This window comes from Homo sapiens, chromosome 16, assembly GCF_000001405.40.
Source record: "Homo sapiens chromosome 16, GRCh38.p14 Primary Assembly".
NCBI classification, from domain to species: Eukaryota; Metazoa; Chordata; class Mammalia; order Primates; family Hominidae; genus Homo; species Homo sapiens.
In genome coordinates this window covers 11,515,465-11,532,968 of record NC_000016.10, presented here as the reverse complement: position 1 = coordinate 11,532,968, position 17,504 = coordinate 11,515,465, and the positions used below count along the sequence as shown (strand labels likewise).

At 49.7% G+C, this 17,504-nt stretch overlaps 1 protein-coding gene across 3 annotated transcripts in view, besides 4 other annotated features; it reads left to right on the top strand.

Moving 5' to 3' along the window:
* Positions 4,525-5,458: an enhancer, noted in NCBI's record as "H3K4me1 hESC enhancer chr16:11621367-11622300 (GRCh37/hg19 assembly coordinates)". NCBI's record gives its function as "activates a minimal SCP1, AML or CMV promoter by ChIP-STARR-seq in primed H9 embryonic stem cells {active_cell/tissue: H9 hESC(primed)}" and the evidence as "EXISTENCE:reporter gene assay evidence [ECO:0000049][PMID:30033119]".
* Positions 5,392-17,504, top strand: part of LOC400499 (putative uncharacterized protein) — a 155,563-nt gene continuing 143,450 nt past the window's right edge. For 2 of the 3 annotated variants that reach the window (NM_001395505.1, NM_001370704.1), the window contains exons 1-6: positions 5,722-5,860; positions 9,496-9,549; positions 10,857-11,017; positions 13,999-14,069; positions 16,662-16,827; positions 16,906-17,040. In NM_001395505.1, the coding sequence (NP_001382434.1) occupies positions 5,794-5,860; positions 9,496-9,549; positions 10,857-11,017; positions 13,999-14,069; positions 16,662-16,827; positions 16,906-17,040 (654 nt within the window). In that variant the 5' untranslated portion in view covers positions 5,722-5,793. Of the gene's footprint in view, positions 5,861-9,495; positions 9,550-10,856; positions 11,018-13,998; positions 14,070-16,661; positions 16,828-16,905; positions 17,041-17,504 lie in introns of all 3 variants that reach the window. The other variant, XM_047434105.1, reaches the window with a different exon arrangement.
* Positions 5,459-6,393: an enhancer, noted in NCBI's record as "H3K4me1 hESC enhancer chr16:11620432-11621366 (GRCh37/hg19 assembly coordinates)". NCBI's record gives its function as "activates a minimal SCP1, AML or CMV promoter by ChIP-STARR-seq in primed H9 embryonic stem cells {active_cell/tissue: H9 hESC(primed)}" and the evidence as "EXISTENCE:reporter gene assay evidence [ECO:0000049][PMID:30033119]".
* Positions 14,187-14,686: an enhancer, noted in NCBI's record as "H3K4me1 hESC enhancer chr16:11612139-11612638 (GRCh37/hg19 assembly coordinates)". NCBI's record gives its function as "activates a minimal SCP1, AML or CMV promoter by ChIP-STARR-seq in primed H9 embryonic stem cells {active_cell/tissue: H9 hESC(primed)}" and the evidence as "EXISTENCE:reporter gene assay evidence [ECO:0000049][PMID:30033119]".
* Positions 16,238-16,766: an enhancer, noted in NCBI's record as "H3K4me1 hESC enhancer chr16:11610059-11610587 (GRCh37/hg19 assembly coordinates)". NCBI's record gives its function as "activates a minimal SCP1, AML or CMV promoter by ChIP-STARR-seq in naive H9 embryonic stem cells {active_cell/tissue: H9 hESC(naive)}" and the evidence as "EXISTENCE:reporter gene assay evidence [ECO:0000049][PMID:30033119]".

The window sequence follows — 17,504 nt, the reverse complement described above, 5'->3', positions numbered from 1 at the left end:
CTTTCTGAACTCTCTGTTCTCCACTTGAACACAACATGGAGCCAGAAGACACTTTGTCAGGAATTTCTAGCCCCTTTATTTTGCCAATGAGTAAAGGAGTCCAGAGAGGTTAAGTAACTTTTCTAAGGTCACACTGCTAATTGAATAAATAAGCAAAGGGATGAACCATCCCTCCCTGCTCTCTCGCATCCACTCCCCACCTTCTTCCATCCACCTGACTTTTCCAACCTTACTAGTAAACAACAGGGAGCCAATTTCTCTGTCAATCTTTTTTTTTTTTTTTTTGATACAGGGTCTCACTCTATTGCCCAGGCTGGAGTACAGTGGCGTGATCTCAGCTCATTGCAACCTCCCCTTCCTGGGTTCCAGCAATTCTCTTGCCTCAGCCTCCCGAGTAGCTGGGACTATACAGGTGTATGCCACCATGCCTGGCTAATTTTTGTATTTTTTGGTAGAGACAGGGTTTCACATGTTGGCCAGGCTAGTCTCGAACTCTTGACTTCAAGTGATCCGCTTGCCTCAGCCTCCCAAAGTGCTGGGATTACAGGCGTGAGCCACCTAGCCCAGCCTCTTGTTCATCTTTTGTGTTGAAGATAAGGTGGCAGTAGTGAGTGCTTCATGAAGGCCAGGCGAGAGGAGCTCACTGCCCCCTGCTGGTTACTTCTTCTCTATCATGGGGTATCTGTGGCTCTCTCACCCGCTTACCCTAGCTCTGCAAAATATCTTTTGGTGGTTTAAAAAGAAAGCTGCTTCAGGCCGGGTGTAGTGGCTCACACCTGTAATCCCAGCACTTTGGGAGGCTGAGGCAGGTGTAGGTCACTTGAGGTCAGGAGTTTGAGACCAGCCTGGCCAACATGGTGAAACCCCTATCTCTACTGAAAATACAAAAATTAGCTGTGCATGGTGGTGGGCACCTGTAATCCCAGCTACTTGGGAGGCTGAGGCAGGAGAATCGCTTGAACCCGGGAGGCGGAAGTTGCAGTGAGCTGAGATGGCGCCATTGCACTCCAGCCTGGGTGACAGAGTGAGACCCTGTCTCAAAAAACAAAACAAAACAAAAACAAAAACAAAAAAACCTGCTTCATTCTGAAAAGAATTGAAGAAACACTGTAGGATTCCAACTCTGTGACATTCTGGAAAAGGCAAAACTGGAGACAGTAAAAAGATCAGCGGTTTTGGGGTTGGTGGGGGGCGTGGTAAGGGAAAGGGAAGGATTAATAGGCAGAGCAGAGGGATCTGGTTGTTTAAGAGTGTGGTACCTCTGCCATGCCTCTCTCGGTCCTGCGCCTGCCATGTAAGACGCCTGTTCCCGCTTTGCCCTCTGCCATGAGTGAAAGCTACCTGAGGCCTCCCCAGAGGCAGGTGCTACCATATACTTCCTGTACACCTTCCCGAACAGTGAACCAATTAACCCACTTTCCTTTATAAATTACCCAGTCTCAGGTCTTTCTTTATAGCAGTGTGAGAACAAGCTAATACACAAATGAAAAGGCTGCCTTTTTTTTTTTTTTTTAAAAACAGTCTTGCTCTGTCACCCAGGCTGCAGTGTAGTGGCGTGATCACAGCTCACTGCAGCTTCAACCTCCTGCGCTCAAGAAATCCTCCTGCCCCAGCCTCCTGAGTAGCTGGGACTACAGGTGTGCACTACCACACCCGGCTTTTATTTTTGTAGAGACAAGGTCTCCCTGTGTTCCTCAGGCTGGTCTTGAACTCCTGGGCTCAAACAATCCCTCTGCCTCAGCCTCCCAAAGTGCTGGGAGTAAAGGCCTGAGCCACTGCACCCACCAAAAGGGCTTCTGAACTCTGGTGACTCTGACCTGAGCCTGATGGGCTTCAATCCATACTCCGGCTGAACTCACACTGACTGGAAGGAAGCTCGATCCCCAGTCGCTGGCAAACCCAACCCCAACCCCGTAAATTTTCTCTAGGTAGAAGCAGGACTTTCTTTGGTGGGAGGAAGAGGAGGTGGGAGGCTGGATCTATGGTGGATGGCTTGTATAGGAGGGTCTGAGTCTTTGTGAATCGAATCCTGTGTCCCCATGTTCTATCAAACCACCTTACTGGGTTTTGGGCCTGTGACAATGTAGACACAAAGTGAGGCCAGCGGTACAGAGACCCTTCCCAGGCAGACTCGGGTAGGCTGGGGCAATGCAAACACAGCTGGTCATCAGAATGGCCTGGAGGGAGGGCCCCACCCTAGGGAGTCTGATTGTCCTGGTCTGGAATGGGCCTGGGAATCTGCATTTGTAGCCAATACCCACTGTGATTGGCGAGAAGCCATCGCATTGAGAATTGCAAGGTCTCTGCTCAGGCTCCTGACTTTGAATGGGGGAGGAATTCAGGCCTGTGGTCAGAGACTTGAGTCTCCTGGGGGAGAAGACGGAGAAAGAAAGTGATGGACCAAAGCTGCCAGAGCTAACAGAGCAGGGACTCTGGAGCCAGATGGGGTTAAAATCCTCCTGAGCTGTGTGACTTAGGGCAAGTGTCTTAACCTCTCTGTATCTCTGTTTCCTCATCTGTACCATGGGATGACCTAGTTCACCTTGCAGGGATTTTGCAGGAGAAGTTGATGAATGAGTCAATATACAAGGAATGCTTTGCCTAGTCTGATAGTTTCCTAACAACAATGCCATCTATTCTTTGAGATCCAGGGAAATCTCTCCTTTGTAAACTGCTTCCACGAGTTCCTGCCAGAATAACTGTTCCTTTCTCTGCGTGAGGTCTGTCTGTGGTGTGCTGAAGATCTTCTGCCTGTGCATCTCGTTTCCCCACTGACTCCTCCAAGCCAGCACCCCCCCACTCGCCCCCCAGGATGCTCTTCCCCACAGCATTTGGCAGCCACGCCCGAACCCATCGTAGTCCCCAAGCAGCTGTGAGCTGAAGGGTCTTTTAGGTCTTTATCCCTGTGGGTCAGGTGCTCCTGAACCCTGCTAGAGAAAATGCTTGAGCTGGGGGCCAGGCTCAGTGGCTCATGCCTGTAATCCCAGCACTTTGGGAGGCCGAGGCAGGTGGATCACCTGAGGCCAGGAGTTCGAGACCAGGCTGGCCAACATAGTGAAACCCCAGCTCTACTAAAAATACACAAAATTAGCCAGGCGTGGCGGCACATGCCTGTAGTCCCAGCTACTCGGGAGGCTGAGGCAGGAAAATCGCTTTGAACTTGAGAGGTGGTGGTTGCAGTGAGCCGAGGTTGCGCCATTGCACTCTAGCCTGGGCAACAAGAGCGAAACTCCGTCTCAAAAAAAGAAAATAAAGGAAAATGCTTGAGCTTGGGAAAAGGGAGGTAGAATCATTGATTTCAAAATATGAAAAGAAAATGGGCCAAGTCTAAAAGCATAAATGATTAAGTTTTCATAAAACATGGTGTGCCAACCAGTCAACTGTGTCTTAATTTGACTCTAAGAAAATTCCATTAAAAGTACATTTAACTGTCCATCACGAGATAAATGGCTACATAGAAAGTGGTCTATCCTTTCAGTGCATTATTCAGCCACGGAAAGGAATGACACACTATTTCACGTTTCGTGGCTGAGCCCCAAAACTGTCATGCTGAGTGAAAGAAGCCAGACAAAGGCCACCTACTAAACCATTCCATTTATGTGAAATGTCCAGAATAGACAAATCCATAAGGACACAAAGCAGATCAGTGGTGGCCAAGGACTGGGGTCAGAGGCACCAGAGGTGATTGTTTACTAGGTATGGGATTTCTTTTTGCAGTGAGGAAATTATGAAATTGGTTGTGGTAATGATTGCCAAACTCCCTTACTATCTTAAAAACCATTGAGTTGTATGCTTTATTTTAATTTAATTAATTTATTTTTTTGAAATGGAGTCTCACTCTGTCACCCAGGCTGGAGTGCAGTGGCACAATCTCGGCTCACTGCAACCTCTGCCTCCTGGGTTCAAGTGATTCTCCCGCCTCAGCCTCCCAAGTAGCTGGGATTACAGGCACCACCATGCCCAGCTAATTTTTTGTACTTTTAGTTGAGACGGGTTTTCACCATGTTGTCCAGGCTGGTCTTGAACTCCTGGCCTCAAGTGATCCACTCGCCTCAGCCTCCCAAAGTGCTGGGATTACAGGCACATGCCACCGTGCCCTGCTAATTTTTGTATTTTTAGTAGAGACAGGGTTTCACCATGTTGGCCAGGCTGGTCTTGAACTCCTGATCTTGTGATCCACCCATCTCGGCCTCCCAAAGTGCTGGGATTACAGGCATGAGCTGCCGCGCCAGTTGAGTTTTGTGCTTTAAATGGGAGAATTGAGTCAAGTAGACCCAGCTACTTGGGAGGCTGAGGTGGGAGGATCACTTGAGCCCAGGAGGTTGAGGCTGCAGTGAGCTACGATCACACCACTGCACTCCAGCGTGGGCAACAGAGTGAGAGCCCATCTTTAAAAAACAAAACAAAACAAAAACAAACAAACAAAAATCACACCTTGAAAACCAAAAGGTGTGGGTGGAGGTGAGTTTGAGGGAGAGAGGCAGAGATGTGGGACCTAGAATGAACGCTGAGCAGGTGTGAGCAGACCTCTGGCCTCCCGAATTACTTCCTTGTCCTCTTGGGAGGCCTTAAACCTGGAGCTTTGAAAAACCCGCTGCTGCTGTGATAAGAGCCATTTCCAAAGGCCTTGCTAAGTCAGGCCTCCCGTTGGCTTTTCCTAACCTGAGCACTGGGAAAGACAAACCCAATGTCAGACTACACAACTAGACAGTAGTGATGGTTGCGCAATGTCATGAGTGGACACGACGCCACTCAACTGAATACTTAAAAGTGGTTAAAATGGGCCGGGTGCCGTGGCTCATGCCTGTAATCTTAGCACTTTGGGAGGCTGAGGCAGGTGGATCGCTTGAGCCCAGGAGTTTAAGACCAGCCTGGGCAACGTAGTGAAACTCCGTCTCTACAAAAAATACAAGAATGAGGTGGGCGTGGTGGCACAGTGCCTGTAGTCCCAGCTACTTGGGAGGCTGAGGCAAGAGGATTGCTTGAGCCCGGGAGGTGTAGGCTGCAGTGAGCCATGACCACACCACTGTACTCCAGCCTTGGTGACGGATTGAGACCTTGTTGTTGTTGTTGTTTGTTGAGACGGAATCTAGCTCTTTTGCCCAGAGTGCAGTGCTGGAGTGCAGTGGCGCGATCTTGGCTCACTGCAAACTCTGCCTCCCGGGTTCAAGCGATTCTCCTGCCTCCACCTCCCGAGTAGCCGGGATTACAGGCACTCGCCACCATGCCCAGATAATTTTTAAATTTTTTGTAGAGATGGGGTCTCACTGTGTTGGCCAGGCTGGTCTCAAACTCCTGACCTCGTGATCTGCCCGCCTCGACCTCCCAAAGTGTTGGAATTACAAGCGTGAGCCACCGCGCCCAGCTGAGACCCTGTCTTTTAAAATAAATGAAATGGTTAAAATGGTCAGTTTTATGTTTTTAAAATATAATTATACTGCAATTAAAAAGAAACAACCACTACACCGTCTTGCCTTCTGACCTGAGATCTCTGTTTACAAGGCTAGGAGAGTAGTCAAGCTCCTTTTTTTTCCCCTCTAGGCTTTTTTTCCCCTCATTGGTCAGGAGCCCCCTCCCCTCCTCTCTGTCGGGCGGGGTGCTAATAACTTTATTGGAGGCTTCTGACTGGCTGGATCTCTGTTCTGAATGCCCCCCACCTCCCCTTCTACCCTCCTGGGCTGGGAGAGTGGGTTAAAGCTGAGCCCTCCTCTTTGGGGAAAAAGATTCCTTTCAGGACCACGCTGAGCTGCTCTGGAGCCTGAGGCTGGTGGCACGGGGCTGGCCCAGGAAGTGATGCCGGCCCCCGTGGGACTCCTCGGTCTGGTCCTGCTCTGGCCGCTGATGGCAGTGACTGCGGAGAGTAAGTAAAACTGCTGCGCGTTCCTGGTCCTGTCTGGAGCGAAGCAAGGGGCAGTCCAGATGCGCCGGGGATTGCGCTTTTGTAGCCAGATGCCTGTTGACCTGCCTTTCCGCTGCCACCTTTTGTTTTGCTTTTCATGGGGAAGAGGAGCGAGAGATGACAGGTGAATCCTCATCTCTCACTCACATGCTCCACCAGCATCCTCTGGAAACTCAGACAAGGCAGGGATTGGGGAGCTGCAGAGACCAGATCTGAAGCCCTGAGTGAGAAAATGCTGCCTTCTGGACCCACTGAGCTTGAGCCCAGCAGGTCGAGGCTGCAGTGAGCCGAGATCATGCCACTGCACTCCAACTTGGGCGACAGAGTGAGACATTGTCTCAGCAACAAAAAAATGCAAGTAATATTAATTTTCCTAGTACCCACACATACAAATTTTTAAAAAGGCAGGTGAAATTAATAACATTTTACTTAACCCAATATATCCAATATATAATTAGAAAATGTAATCAATAGGAAGTATTAATGAGATTTATTTCCCATTCAACATTTAATGTGTATTTTATACTTACGACATATTTCAATTCAGATGCTAAGTTTTCATTGCAAATACTTGATCTGTCTTTAGATTTCTTAAAACTTAGAGTTGAGAAAGTAGGTTTACCTACTGTGCCAAGTTGTTTCAAACATATTTGAAAGTTTTCTTTCTTTAAAAAATATTTTTTGTGGAGACGGGGTTTCACCATGTTGCCCAGGCTGGTCTCAAACTCAAGTGATCCTCCCAGAGTGCTGGGATTACAGGCATGAGCCACTGCACCAGGCTGAAAGTCTTATAATAAGTGAATTGAGTATTGGTTTTTTGTTTAATTAAAATTAAATGAAAAGTTTCTCTGTAACCAGTAACATTTTAGATGCTTCATAGCCACATACTGGAGAGCGCGGGCCAGATTGTGGGGTCTTTTATTTGTTGTAAATGATGTAATTGTTTTGATATTTGGGCTTTTATTTCAGCATAGAACACTGTCTGGCATGCTATAGGTACTTGGTAAATTGTGTTGGTTTCATAAAAGAATGCACACTGATCAGAATTGACAGCTGAGAAAGCTGAAATGGGACTTGATTTCATTTGCTGGCTAGAGATGACACTCATTTCAGTCCATTTCAGATCTCTTCCTGGAAGTGAGTAGGATCTGATTGAAGAATTTATTACCTCCAGTGTGCAGTGTTTTCCCATCCTTGGTTAATCTGTTAAGAATTTATCATGACATGAACTTCATTTTTCTGAAATTTAAAAAATATTTTAAATGTGTTCAAGCGTTCAGGAAATGGAAGGGGTACAGGCTTAATTCAAGCACAATGCTCTCAGACCTCAGCTCACTTCTGCAGGTCATGGTGGCTGGAGGCTGGTGGGCCAGGCTGCTTTGTAGCCTAGCTGAGCAGTGAAGCAGATGTAGGGATTGTCTGTTGAGCAAACAAGCAGGATGCTGGGCTTGTGCACAATCGAGAACGTAATGATTACGCACACATATGTTTAATTTGGTGCCCAGTGTCCGAGTGATCAAAGAGTTGAAGGAAAGTTGGAAGGGAAATTGATTGGGTTGAATGTCTTTGAAATGTGGTTTTATCTGTTGATATTCTACTTGAATGCAAAGAGGGTTTTGTTAGATGTGCCAAAATATTTAGGAGAAAAAAACCCTGCCAGATATCTTACCATGTCCAATGTTTTAAAGGGTGTAAACAAAATAGTATATAATGCACCCTACCTCCACCCCTCCCCGTTTTGGGGAAATGATTTGTTTTTCCTTTTTTTTTTTTTTTTGGGACAAGGTCTTAACTCTGCTACCCAGGCTGGAATACGATCGCACCAGGCAGTGGTGCGATCTCGGCTCACTGCAATCTCCACCTGTCGGCTCAAGCAATTCTCCCACCTCCCACGAGTAGCTGGGACCACAGGTGTGCACCACCACGCCCGGCTAATTTTTGTATTTTTTATAGAGAGGGGGTTTCGCCATGCTGGCCAGGCTGGTCTCGAACTCCTGAGCTCAAGCCATCACCCACCTCAGCTTCCCAAAGTACTGGGATTACAGGCATGAGCCACCGTACCCAGGCACAATGTGTTTTTCGAGGGATTAAACAGGTCAGCAAGTGTAGCAATGACCAGTCGAGGTGCAGCGGGGTGGTTTTGAGGATGGAAGTGGTATTATTGAAATGCCATCCTATGGAAATGGCTGCAGATGAATGCCTGCTTAATGCATAGGAGGGCACGGGTGATGCCTGGGAAAGATCCTGCAAGTGGCTGGCAGGAAGGGGAAACGAGGTTTGAAAGTAGGTGGCAGTGGAAGGGCTGGGTGGCTGGAGGGAGGGAGGGAGGGGTGCTGGCCTTCCCAGGGAGGGAGCTCCAGGAATCTCTGGCAGTTTTCTTAGCAGCCTGAGCTGGGGGCCGAGGGGCCACCTCACCACATCTGCTCATGCCCTGGTTGTCCTCTGCCCCTTCGATGGTGGGAGAAGGGAGACACTCAACAGGGAGCAGCACCAGCTCCTGCTATTTCCTGCAGCAGCCTCTTGGTCTTGCTGGTGTTCCATTCATTACTCATTTGCTCACTTACTGTCTGATTCATTCAGGATGAGGGTATGGCTGGGGACTCTGGAGCCAGAGTGCCTGGGTTCAAATCCTAAGGCTCCACCGTTAGCCAGCTGTGTGCACCTGGGCAAGTCACTTGGATGGATAGGAGACAGGAGAGGGTGGGTGGCTGGGTGGATGGATGGATAGGAGGGAGAGTGGGTGAATGGATGGATGCATGGATAACAGCGGGGAGTGGGTGGGTGGATGGATGGATAGGAGAGGGAGTGGGTGAGTGGGTAGATGGATAGGAGGGGGAATGGGTGAGTAGGTGGATGGATGGATAGGAGAGGGTAGTGGGTGGGTGGATGGATGGATTGGGGGGTTGGGGGGTGGATGGACGGATGGGGGGGTGGGTGGATGGATAGGAGGTGGAAGTGATGCGTGGATGGATGGATAGGAGGGGGGCTGGGGGTGGGTGGATGGATGGGAGGGGGAGTGGGTGAATGGATGCGTAGGAGGGGGGTTGGGGGTGGGTGTATAGGAGGGGTGTGGGGAGTGGGCAGATAGATGGATAGGAGAGGGGAGCGGGTGGGTGGATGGATAGGGGAATTGGGGGTGGGTGGATAGGAGTGGGGGTGGGGGTGGTTGGATGGATGAATGGATGGATAGGAGCAGGGAGCAGGTGGGTGGATGGATGGGAGTGGGGATGGGTAGATGGATTGATGGATGGGAGGAATGGAGACCTGTATTTGTTGATGGAATTGGCAGAGCTTGCTGACATATTGGACTCAGGTAGTGATGAGGGATGTGGAAGCACGAATGATTGGCAGCTTGAGCTATCAGGGATGATGGTGCCAGTACCCAAGATGAACAAGAGCAAATTGGACAAAGGGTAGGGCAATCACTTCCAGTCTTTGTGGCCCTCCCTCCCCTGAGGACATTTTGCAAAGTCTGGGGAGAGCTGGCATTATCATTTCTCATCTTCTTCCCAGAGTAAGGTCAGTGGCCCATAGCGTGGGGCTATCTTATGCCTCTTTCTGGCCTCACCCTGGTTCCATCTGATTTGCGATTTCAGAAATTCCAGATTCGCAGGTGGGGCAGGTGGCCTCCTGCATGACTGCGTGCACAGGTGAGTGATTCTCTCAGGACGCCTGATCACACCTCTGGTGACCAGGAGCCTGAGCCCAGTACAGGGCCCAATGGGAGTGAAGCTGTAAGATGGGATTAGAGACAGCCCCAGAGGGCCCTGACTATGCTCCCAAAGATACCAGTTGGGAGGACCAAGGCCAGTTCTGGAAAGGTCACCCACAGAGTTAGAGAAATGAATAGCAAGCTCAGAGTAAAATGCCTTAAGCCATCCCAGCCCCCAAGGCTTCCTCTTCATGCCTGTGGGCCCCAGGTGGAATAAATGTCTTTGGCCAGGTGATGCCATTTGCATTTTGGAGTGGAGCAGATGAAAGAACCTTGGGAACAAATTCTTTGGAAAGAGAGAAGCATCTTAGGAATATGAGGTGTGGTTCTGTCTCAAGGAAATTGACATGAAAATGTCAGTTCAATCACAAGCCATGGGGAGGGGTGAGATGTTATAATTAGGTTTCACGCTTGATCCCCTGGCCTCAATAGAAGGTTAGAGATTTGGCTGGATAATTACAGACCTCTCTGTTCCCTAAATCAGCTCTTCCCCAGAGCAGTTACTCTCCTCACCCCCAGATCCCCCAAGGCTGGGCAGCTTTACAGCTTTATCTTCTATAAAGATCAGAATAACAACCCACCCTAACCCCTGCCAGCCCCACTTGATATCCATCAAGATGATAGGTGAGTAGTCAGACTCCCAAGGGTGGAATCCCAGCTGCGGATTGTGTAAGTTAGTTAACCTCTCTGAGCCTCAGTTTCTTCCTCTGTAAAATGGAGAAAAAAGAGTATTCACCTCAAAGTTGGTTATGAAGCTTAACTGAGTTACTGTAGATGAATGCTTCTCAACTGGGGTGATTGTGGCCCTCCCTCCCCTGGGGACATTTTGCAAAGTCTGGGGACATTTTTGGTTGTCACAACTGGGCTGGGTTACTGGCATCTTGTGGGTAAAGGTCAGGGATGCTGGTAAATTTCCTGACAACACAGAGGACAGCCCTCACAAACAGAATTCCCTGGCCCCAACTATTAATAGTGCCCAGGCAGAGAAACCTTGATATTAGAAGAAAGCCTGGCCCATGATGACACTGGCTAGTACTTATTGAGCACTTACTGTTATTATCTTTATTTTCTTTTTCACCCTTATGAGGGTATGCAGCTACCCAACCTTTCCCCAAGCTGGGGACAGGCAGCTCAGGGCCCAGATGGAGAGAGAGAGGTGTGAGCAAGGATGGCTGGAGGTGGAGTTGGGATCCCAGAGGGCTGCAGGTTCAAGGTGACATTGCTGTCTCTCTCTCTGCCCTTCAGGGTCAGCTGGGCCCCACCTCCCTGTGGGCACCAGATACACCTATCATTTTTCCACCAACACCAGCACCAGCCTGCAGGACGTCCTGGTGGAGGGGAGTGGTCTTGGCCTCCAAGGCTTGGCTGTCCTTGATGTGCTTGGCCTGTGCCAGATGGCTTTATGGGTGAGTGTCTTTGGGCAACCGGGAGATCACGTTGATGCTGGGGAGGACTAAGAGGAAGCCACAGCCCCTTACCTCCAATTTCCAATTTGCTTAATCAACAGAGGAGCTTTCTGAGGAATCTTATATTTGGCAAGTGAGGACCCTTGGGAGGAATGTGGGAAAATGGTGCAATTTTGATTGTAAGAGGTGCCACAGAGGGCCCAATCGGGGAATAGCAGAGGTTAAGGAAGGAATATTTTTAGGGCAGGTTGGGGGAGTTCGTGGAGTGAGAAGAGCCATAGAACGGGGACATACTGTGCCCTAGGGGTGGACTGAGAGCCATGTCTGCAAGTCCAAGGGTGTGTGCAAAGTCAAACCAAGTCAAGCCTTTGGACAAAGGAATAGACTGGGTGGAAGTCTATTCCCAGCAAGGCCTGCCCTGTGGACACTAGCCTTGCAGTGCTTGGGTCCACAGCCTCAGGTTATAGGCAAACACTAAGGTCCAGTGGTGTTAGTCCTGGGTTAAGGCAGAATTATGAGCTAGGCCCACTTGGTGGTTGCAGATTTCTTTTCATTGAGATTTTCTGGAAGTTCCTCAATGTTCTTGCAAGCAGAAGTGCTTGCTCATTTGCCTCTGTCTCATTTCTGATAACCCTCATATTTTTCCTGGATAAACCCTCTCAACCCACATAAAAGGCCTTTTAGTTTCTGTTGGAGTCTCATCTCATATTGTGATGCATTTTTGTACTGGCTGGAGCACTTGCTAGCAAGAGTTTCTCAAAGCCGTTTTGTTGTATTTTCATGTAGACCACAGGATGAGGTCTTTCATGGAGTGGGCCTGAGCTGCCTCTGAATTCTTAAAGTGTCCAATATGTCAGAGATGCTGCTTTATTAATCTTTATCATCCTTTTACACCCTTCAAAACACTTGTGGTTGTTTTTATCTGCAGGGCCAGTTTTCACAAAGCAAATTGTGTTCTGTTGCAGTTTTATTCATTTGTTTACTTTAAGCACTTAAGAAAAGCTGCCAATGTCAAATGTTGGCAAGGATATAAAGAACCAGTGTATTTCAAAGATTCTAGGTGAAAATGGAAATTTTCTGGCCCCTTGGGAGGTTAATGAATATATTTTTAGAGAAAAAAGTGTAAAAATCACAAATCTTCAAAACAAGGAATTTTCATAAACCAAACACCTACGTAGCGATCACCAGAGCAAGAAACAAAATATAACCCCCAGAGCCTCCTTCATACTTCCTCTTGGTCACTTCTCCCAAGGGTACAACTTTTTTTTTTTTTTTTTTTTTTTTTTTGATGGAGTCTCACTCTGTCGCCCAGGCTGGCGTGCAATAGCACAATCTCAGCTCATTGCAATCTCCGCCTCCCCAGTTCAAGCGATTCTCCTGCGTCAGCCTCCTGAGTAGCTGAGATTACTGGTAGTGCATGGTGCGCTCCGCCACGCCTGGCTAATTTTTGTACTTTTAGTAGAGATGAGATTTTACCATGTTGGCCAAGCTGGTCTTGAACTCCTGACCTCAAGTGATCTGCCCACCTCGGCCTCCCAAAGTGCTGGGATTACAGGCGTGAGCCACTATGCCCAGCCTTCCTTTTTTATTTCTATCACCATAGATGAGTTTTGCCTGTCTTTGAACTTCTCTCTAATGGAATTGTACAGGATGTTTTCCTTTGTGTCTGGTTTATTTTTATTTTTTTACTGTGATTAAAATATAATATGGAATACACCATTTCAACCATCTTAAGTCTATGATTCAGTGGCATTAAGTACTTTCACATCGTTGTACAACCATCACCACCCTCCATCTCTAGAACTTTTTCATCATCCTAAACAGAAGCTCTGTGCACATTGAACAGTAACTTCCAATTCCCACCCTGCAGACTCTAGTCCCCTCTGTTCTGCTTTCTGTCTCTATGAACTTGCCTGTTTTTAGGTACCTCATATAAGTGGACTCACATAGGCCGGGCGCGGTGGCTCATGCCTGTAATCCCAGCTCATTGGGAGGCCGAGGCGGGTGGATCACCTGAGGTCTGGAGTTCGAGACCAGCCTGACCAACATGGAAAAACCCTGTCTCTACTAAATACAAAATTAGGTGGGCGTGGTGGTGCATGCCTGTAATCCCAGCTACTCAGGAGGCTGAGGCAGGAGAATGGCTTGAACCCGGGAGATGGAGGTTGCTGTGAGCCAAGATCGCGCCATTGCACTCCAGCCTGGAAAACAAGAGCAAAACTCCATCTCAAAAAAAAAAAAAAAGTGGAGTCACATAATACGTGACTTTTTGTGTCTGGCTTCTTTCATTTAACATAACATTTTCAAGGTTCCTCTCTATTGTAGGATGTAGCAGAACTTCATCCTTTAAAAAAATTATTGTTTATTTATTTTAAAAAATAGAGATGGGGTTCCACCATGTTGGCCAGGCTGGTCTTGAAGTCTTGACCTCAAGTGATCCGCCTGCCTTGCCCTCCCAAAGTGCTGGGATTACAGGTGTGAGCCACTGTGACCGGCTCTATTAAATTTAAACAGTGAAATCAGTTATTTAGGGAGGATATTTTCCATTTTTAGAAAGTCTACCTTCTTTTGCAACCCCCTCCCCACCCTCCACTCATCCACCACACACACCCCATGGTGACAGTGGGATATCCAAGTCCTCATCATGGGCAAAGCCTTTGTCTGCTCTACAATGTAACATATTCTTGTTGGTGCTATATAGTCCTATGAATCCCTCAACCAAACTTCCAGCGTCTTTTTGGGCAAAATGAGAACTTTCCAGACGTTTAGCAGGGAGCTGTAGGTACTTGATTATTTCAGTGAGACATTCGGCCTTCACCACCCAGGCTTGGTACCTGGTCAAGGGAGGGGTCTCTCTGCCTTGCCCCCAACATGGGTTCATGTATCCTGCAGGGCCCTAGAACTGCTTTGTGGGTGGGGTGCTGGCGAGTTCCCGGGGTATCACAGGAGAGGTCACCAACTCACGGTGCTTTGTGCTTCAGCTCCAAGACTTCCAGGTGACATCCATCCTGGGGGCCAAGGTGGAGCTTCTGAAGGAGTCGGAGAGCCTGAGGTAAGACACTTGGCCATGGGGCTGGGACCTGCTCACGATGGGGCTGGAGCTGTGAGCCCTCTGCCGTCTTTCAACAGCTGTCGGGCTCTGGGTGCACTGAATTAGATTAGGACAATTGGTTAGGGTGACCTCTCTGTAGCAAAGAGATGCCATCTTGGACTGAAGTTCAAAGAAGTTTCTGTATTTGTTTTGACCTTGTCAAGCACCGATGAAGACCGCTGGGGGGCTGCCTTCATGTAGAAGCCTTGGGTGACTCCAGATAGCCGCAGGTGCTCTTCTCTTACCTGGTGGGAGGAACTCATCCCGTAGTTCTGCCTGTGACCCCCAGCATGTCCAGATTTCACACCTGCCGATCACCCCTTGGGCATTGTTGTTGAGTGTGTTCTGGAAGACTCCGGCTAATGGGACTGCCGGGCCCATGGAGGTCTGCCTTTTCCCCTCCCCGACTCTGCCGAGACCCCATCCTCTCCCACCCCAAGCTAAGCCCCTCTTTTGTGACCCAGCCAAGCCTGGGATTCTCCCTGTGGCTTGTTTCCCAGGCCTCCCTGACAGGGCCTCGGTGGCCTCAAAGCTCAGAGCAGCCGCCAGCCTGAAGACAACTCCTTCTCTGCAGATTCCTCTTCCGTTTTTATTGCAAATTCATTTGTTAAGAAAGAAAGCCTTTGTCTAGGGATACCAGGATGGGGGATGCTGCTGAGGGACAGATAGATCCTCACTGAAAGGCAAGGGGAGGGTCTCCTCCAAGGGGACTATTGTCCCCCAGCTCCTCATCAGAAATGCTAAGTCAGCGGGGCCAGGGGTTGTCACTTCCTGGAGGCCACACTGCCACTTGCTATTCTGGGAGTGGTGGGCGCCATTAGCATTTCTCTCCATCAAGGCCTGAGACCCAGGGGACTGCCTTAGGAAGACCTCCAGGCTTCAGTTGGAGCTGGAGAGTGACCGCTGCCCCCCTGGAAGGTAGAAGTGGTAACATATCTGTTCCCCAGGGTTTTGTCTTGCTAGCCTGTAGGGTCTGGGGACTTGGCAGTTTCCCTTTCATCTTGAAGCATCTCTGTCTTCCAACTCCACCCAGGGAAGGAGGACTCCATCACCCCTCACTTCCCACCCCTTCACTTCCCCGTCCCTTCACTCTGCAGATACCAGACCCAGGCACCTTTCTGCCAGGGGAAGGGCAGGCGGGAGGAGCACGGGGCTGAATTCTGGTGCCAGCTCCTTCCCTGACTTGCTGTGTGATATCCCCCAAGAAGGCCCCCGTCTCGGGACCTCATTTCCTTGTCTCAACAATGACAGTCTCAAGTCACTTCCAGTTCGGGGTTTCTGCAGCCTGTGACTCCACAGCCAGCCTGGCTGGGTTCAAATCCCAGCTGGAGCCCCGAGCAAAACACTACATTGCTCCGAGCCTGTTTCCTCATCCAGAATGTGGGTGGAGGGATGATAATTACCTCCCTGGTGGGATCTGTAGGGGAGGGAAAGACTCCCTCTACCTTCCTGGGTTCAATAGCTGTGTCTAGAAATAAACTGACATTAGGAGAAGAGGTAGATAGATTTTTTTATATGCACAGGGGCATCGTGGAATGAAAGAGTGAAGGCTCCCCAGAGTGCTGAGACTTGGGAGCTTATGCACCATTTTCAGGGGAAAGGGGAGGAGGGAGCGAGACAAGTTAGAGGGGAGTAGATGGTTTCTAGGAAAGAGGAAGGGACCCTTGGAAGAAGAGACAGGAGATGTGCTAGTGTGGGATAAAGTTTGTCTGGGTGTGGTGTCGACTTGCACCATCCTCTCTTAGGATGAGAGCTGCTCTCCCCAGGTGGATGAAACTCCCTGGAGGGCATTGATGACAATTAGGTTCCTTTTGGAGGATCTGTCTTTAGGCAGAAGAGGGGAGTTCAGAGAAAGCCTCTCCCCGTATTTGCTGTTTCTCAACAAATACAGTCTTTGGTTCAAAATAGACAAGAGGCTGGAGTGCGGTGGCTTACGCCTGTAATCCCAGAGCTTTGGAGGCTGAGGCTGGAGGATTGCTTGAGCTCAGGAGTTTGAGATCAGCCTGGGCAACGTAGCGGGAATCTATCTCTACAAAAGGTTTAAAAATTAGCTGGGCATGGTGGCCATATGTCTGTGGTCCCAGCCATTTGGGAGGCTGAGGCAGAAGGATCGTTTAAGCCTATAAGGTTGAGGCTGCAGTGAGCTCAGCCTGGGCAACAGAGCGAGACTGGTCCACAAAAAAGGCAATATTCCCAAGTGGCATATTTTGGGGTGGCACATCCAGAATGCCTTCAGCTCCTTGGGATTAAGTGAGGCGTTTTGGAATGCAGGCAGCTCTTGGGGTCTCAGCCTTTTATTCTTTGACACTTGTCTCACACACCTGTCCATTTGTCCCGGGGTGAAAAGGCTGGGGTGGCTCAGAGCAGAGTTGGCTGCCCCAGAGCCCAGCTGCAGAGGGAACAAAGGCTATCTAGTGGGGGGATGTGGGGTTCCCTGGGAGCTTCCCATGGGGGCTGGCCTGTAGGAAGGCAGGGATGCTGTGGCCTCTGGCAGTCTGCAAGTGGCCTGGGGCACTGGAGGGTCCCGCTTGACCCCTGTCCGCCCTCCTGCAGTGCCACCCTGGGCCGTAACCCACTCCGCTTCATCCTGCACTCTGGGCGTGTGGCCCACCTGTGTCCCCATCCCACTGAGCCACGCTGGGTGCTGAACGTGAAGCGTGCTGTGCTGAGCCTCCTGCAGGGCCACCCAGGGGCCCACAGCCCCAAGACCTTTGATGAGGTGAGGCCAGGAGATGGGAAGGGGGTAGGGGGTAGAGGTGGCCAGAAGGTTGACCTGTCCCCAACCCTGTCTGCCCAGGTGGACATCCTGGGCCGATGTCCTACCACATACCAGCACCATGGGGACTGGCTACACAAGACAAAGGACCTGGCACGGTGCTCCCTGCGCAGGGGACGCTCATCACTCCATTCTCAGGCCCTGCCTGGAGTGGCTGTAAGTGCTGGGCTAGGCTGGGCTGGGCTGGGCTAGGCTGGGCTGGGCTGGGCTGGGCTGGGCTGGGCTGGGCTGGGCCGGGCCCCTGACTGCTGCTCTCCCAGACCCTTCTCCTCTTCTTCCTCTTCCTCCTCCTCCTCCCTTTTCCTCCTCCTCCTCCCTTTTTCTCCTCCTCCTCCCTTTTCCTCCTCCTCCTCCCTTTTCCTCCTCCTTCCTCCTCCCTCCTCAGCTCTTCATTTCCTCTCCTCCAATTCCTTCTCTTCTTGGTCCTCCTTCCTTTACCTCCTCTCTTCCAATTCCTTCTCTTCTTGGTCCTCCTTCCTTTACCTCCTCTCCTCCCTTCCCCTTCCCCTCCCTTCTCCTCTTTCCTTCAAGAAATTTTATTTTATTTTATGTATGTATGTACGTATGTATGTATGTATGTACGTACGTATGTATGTATGTATGTACGTACGTATGTATGT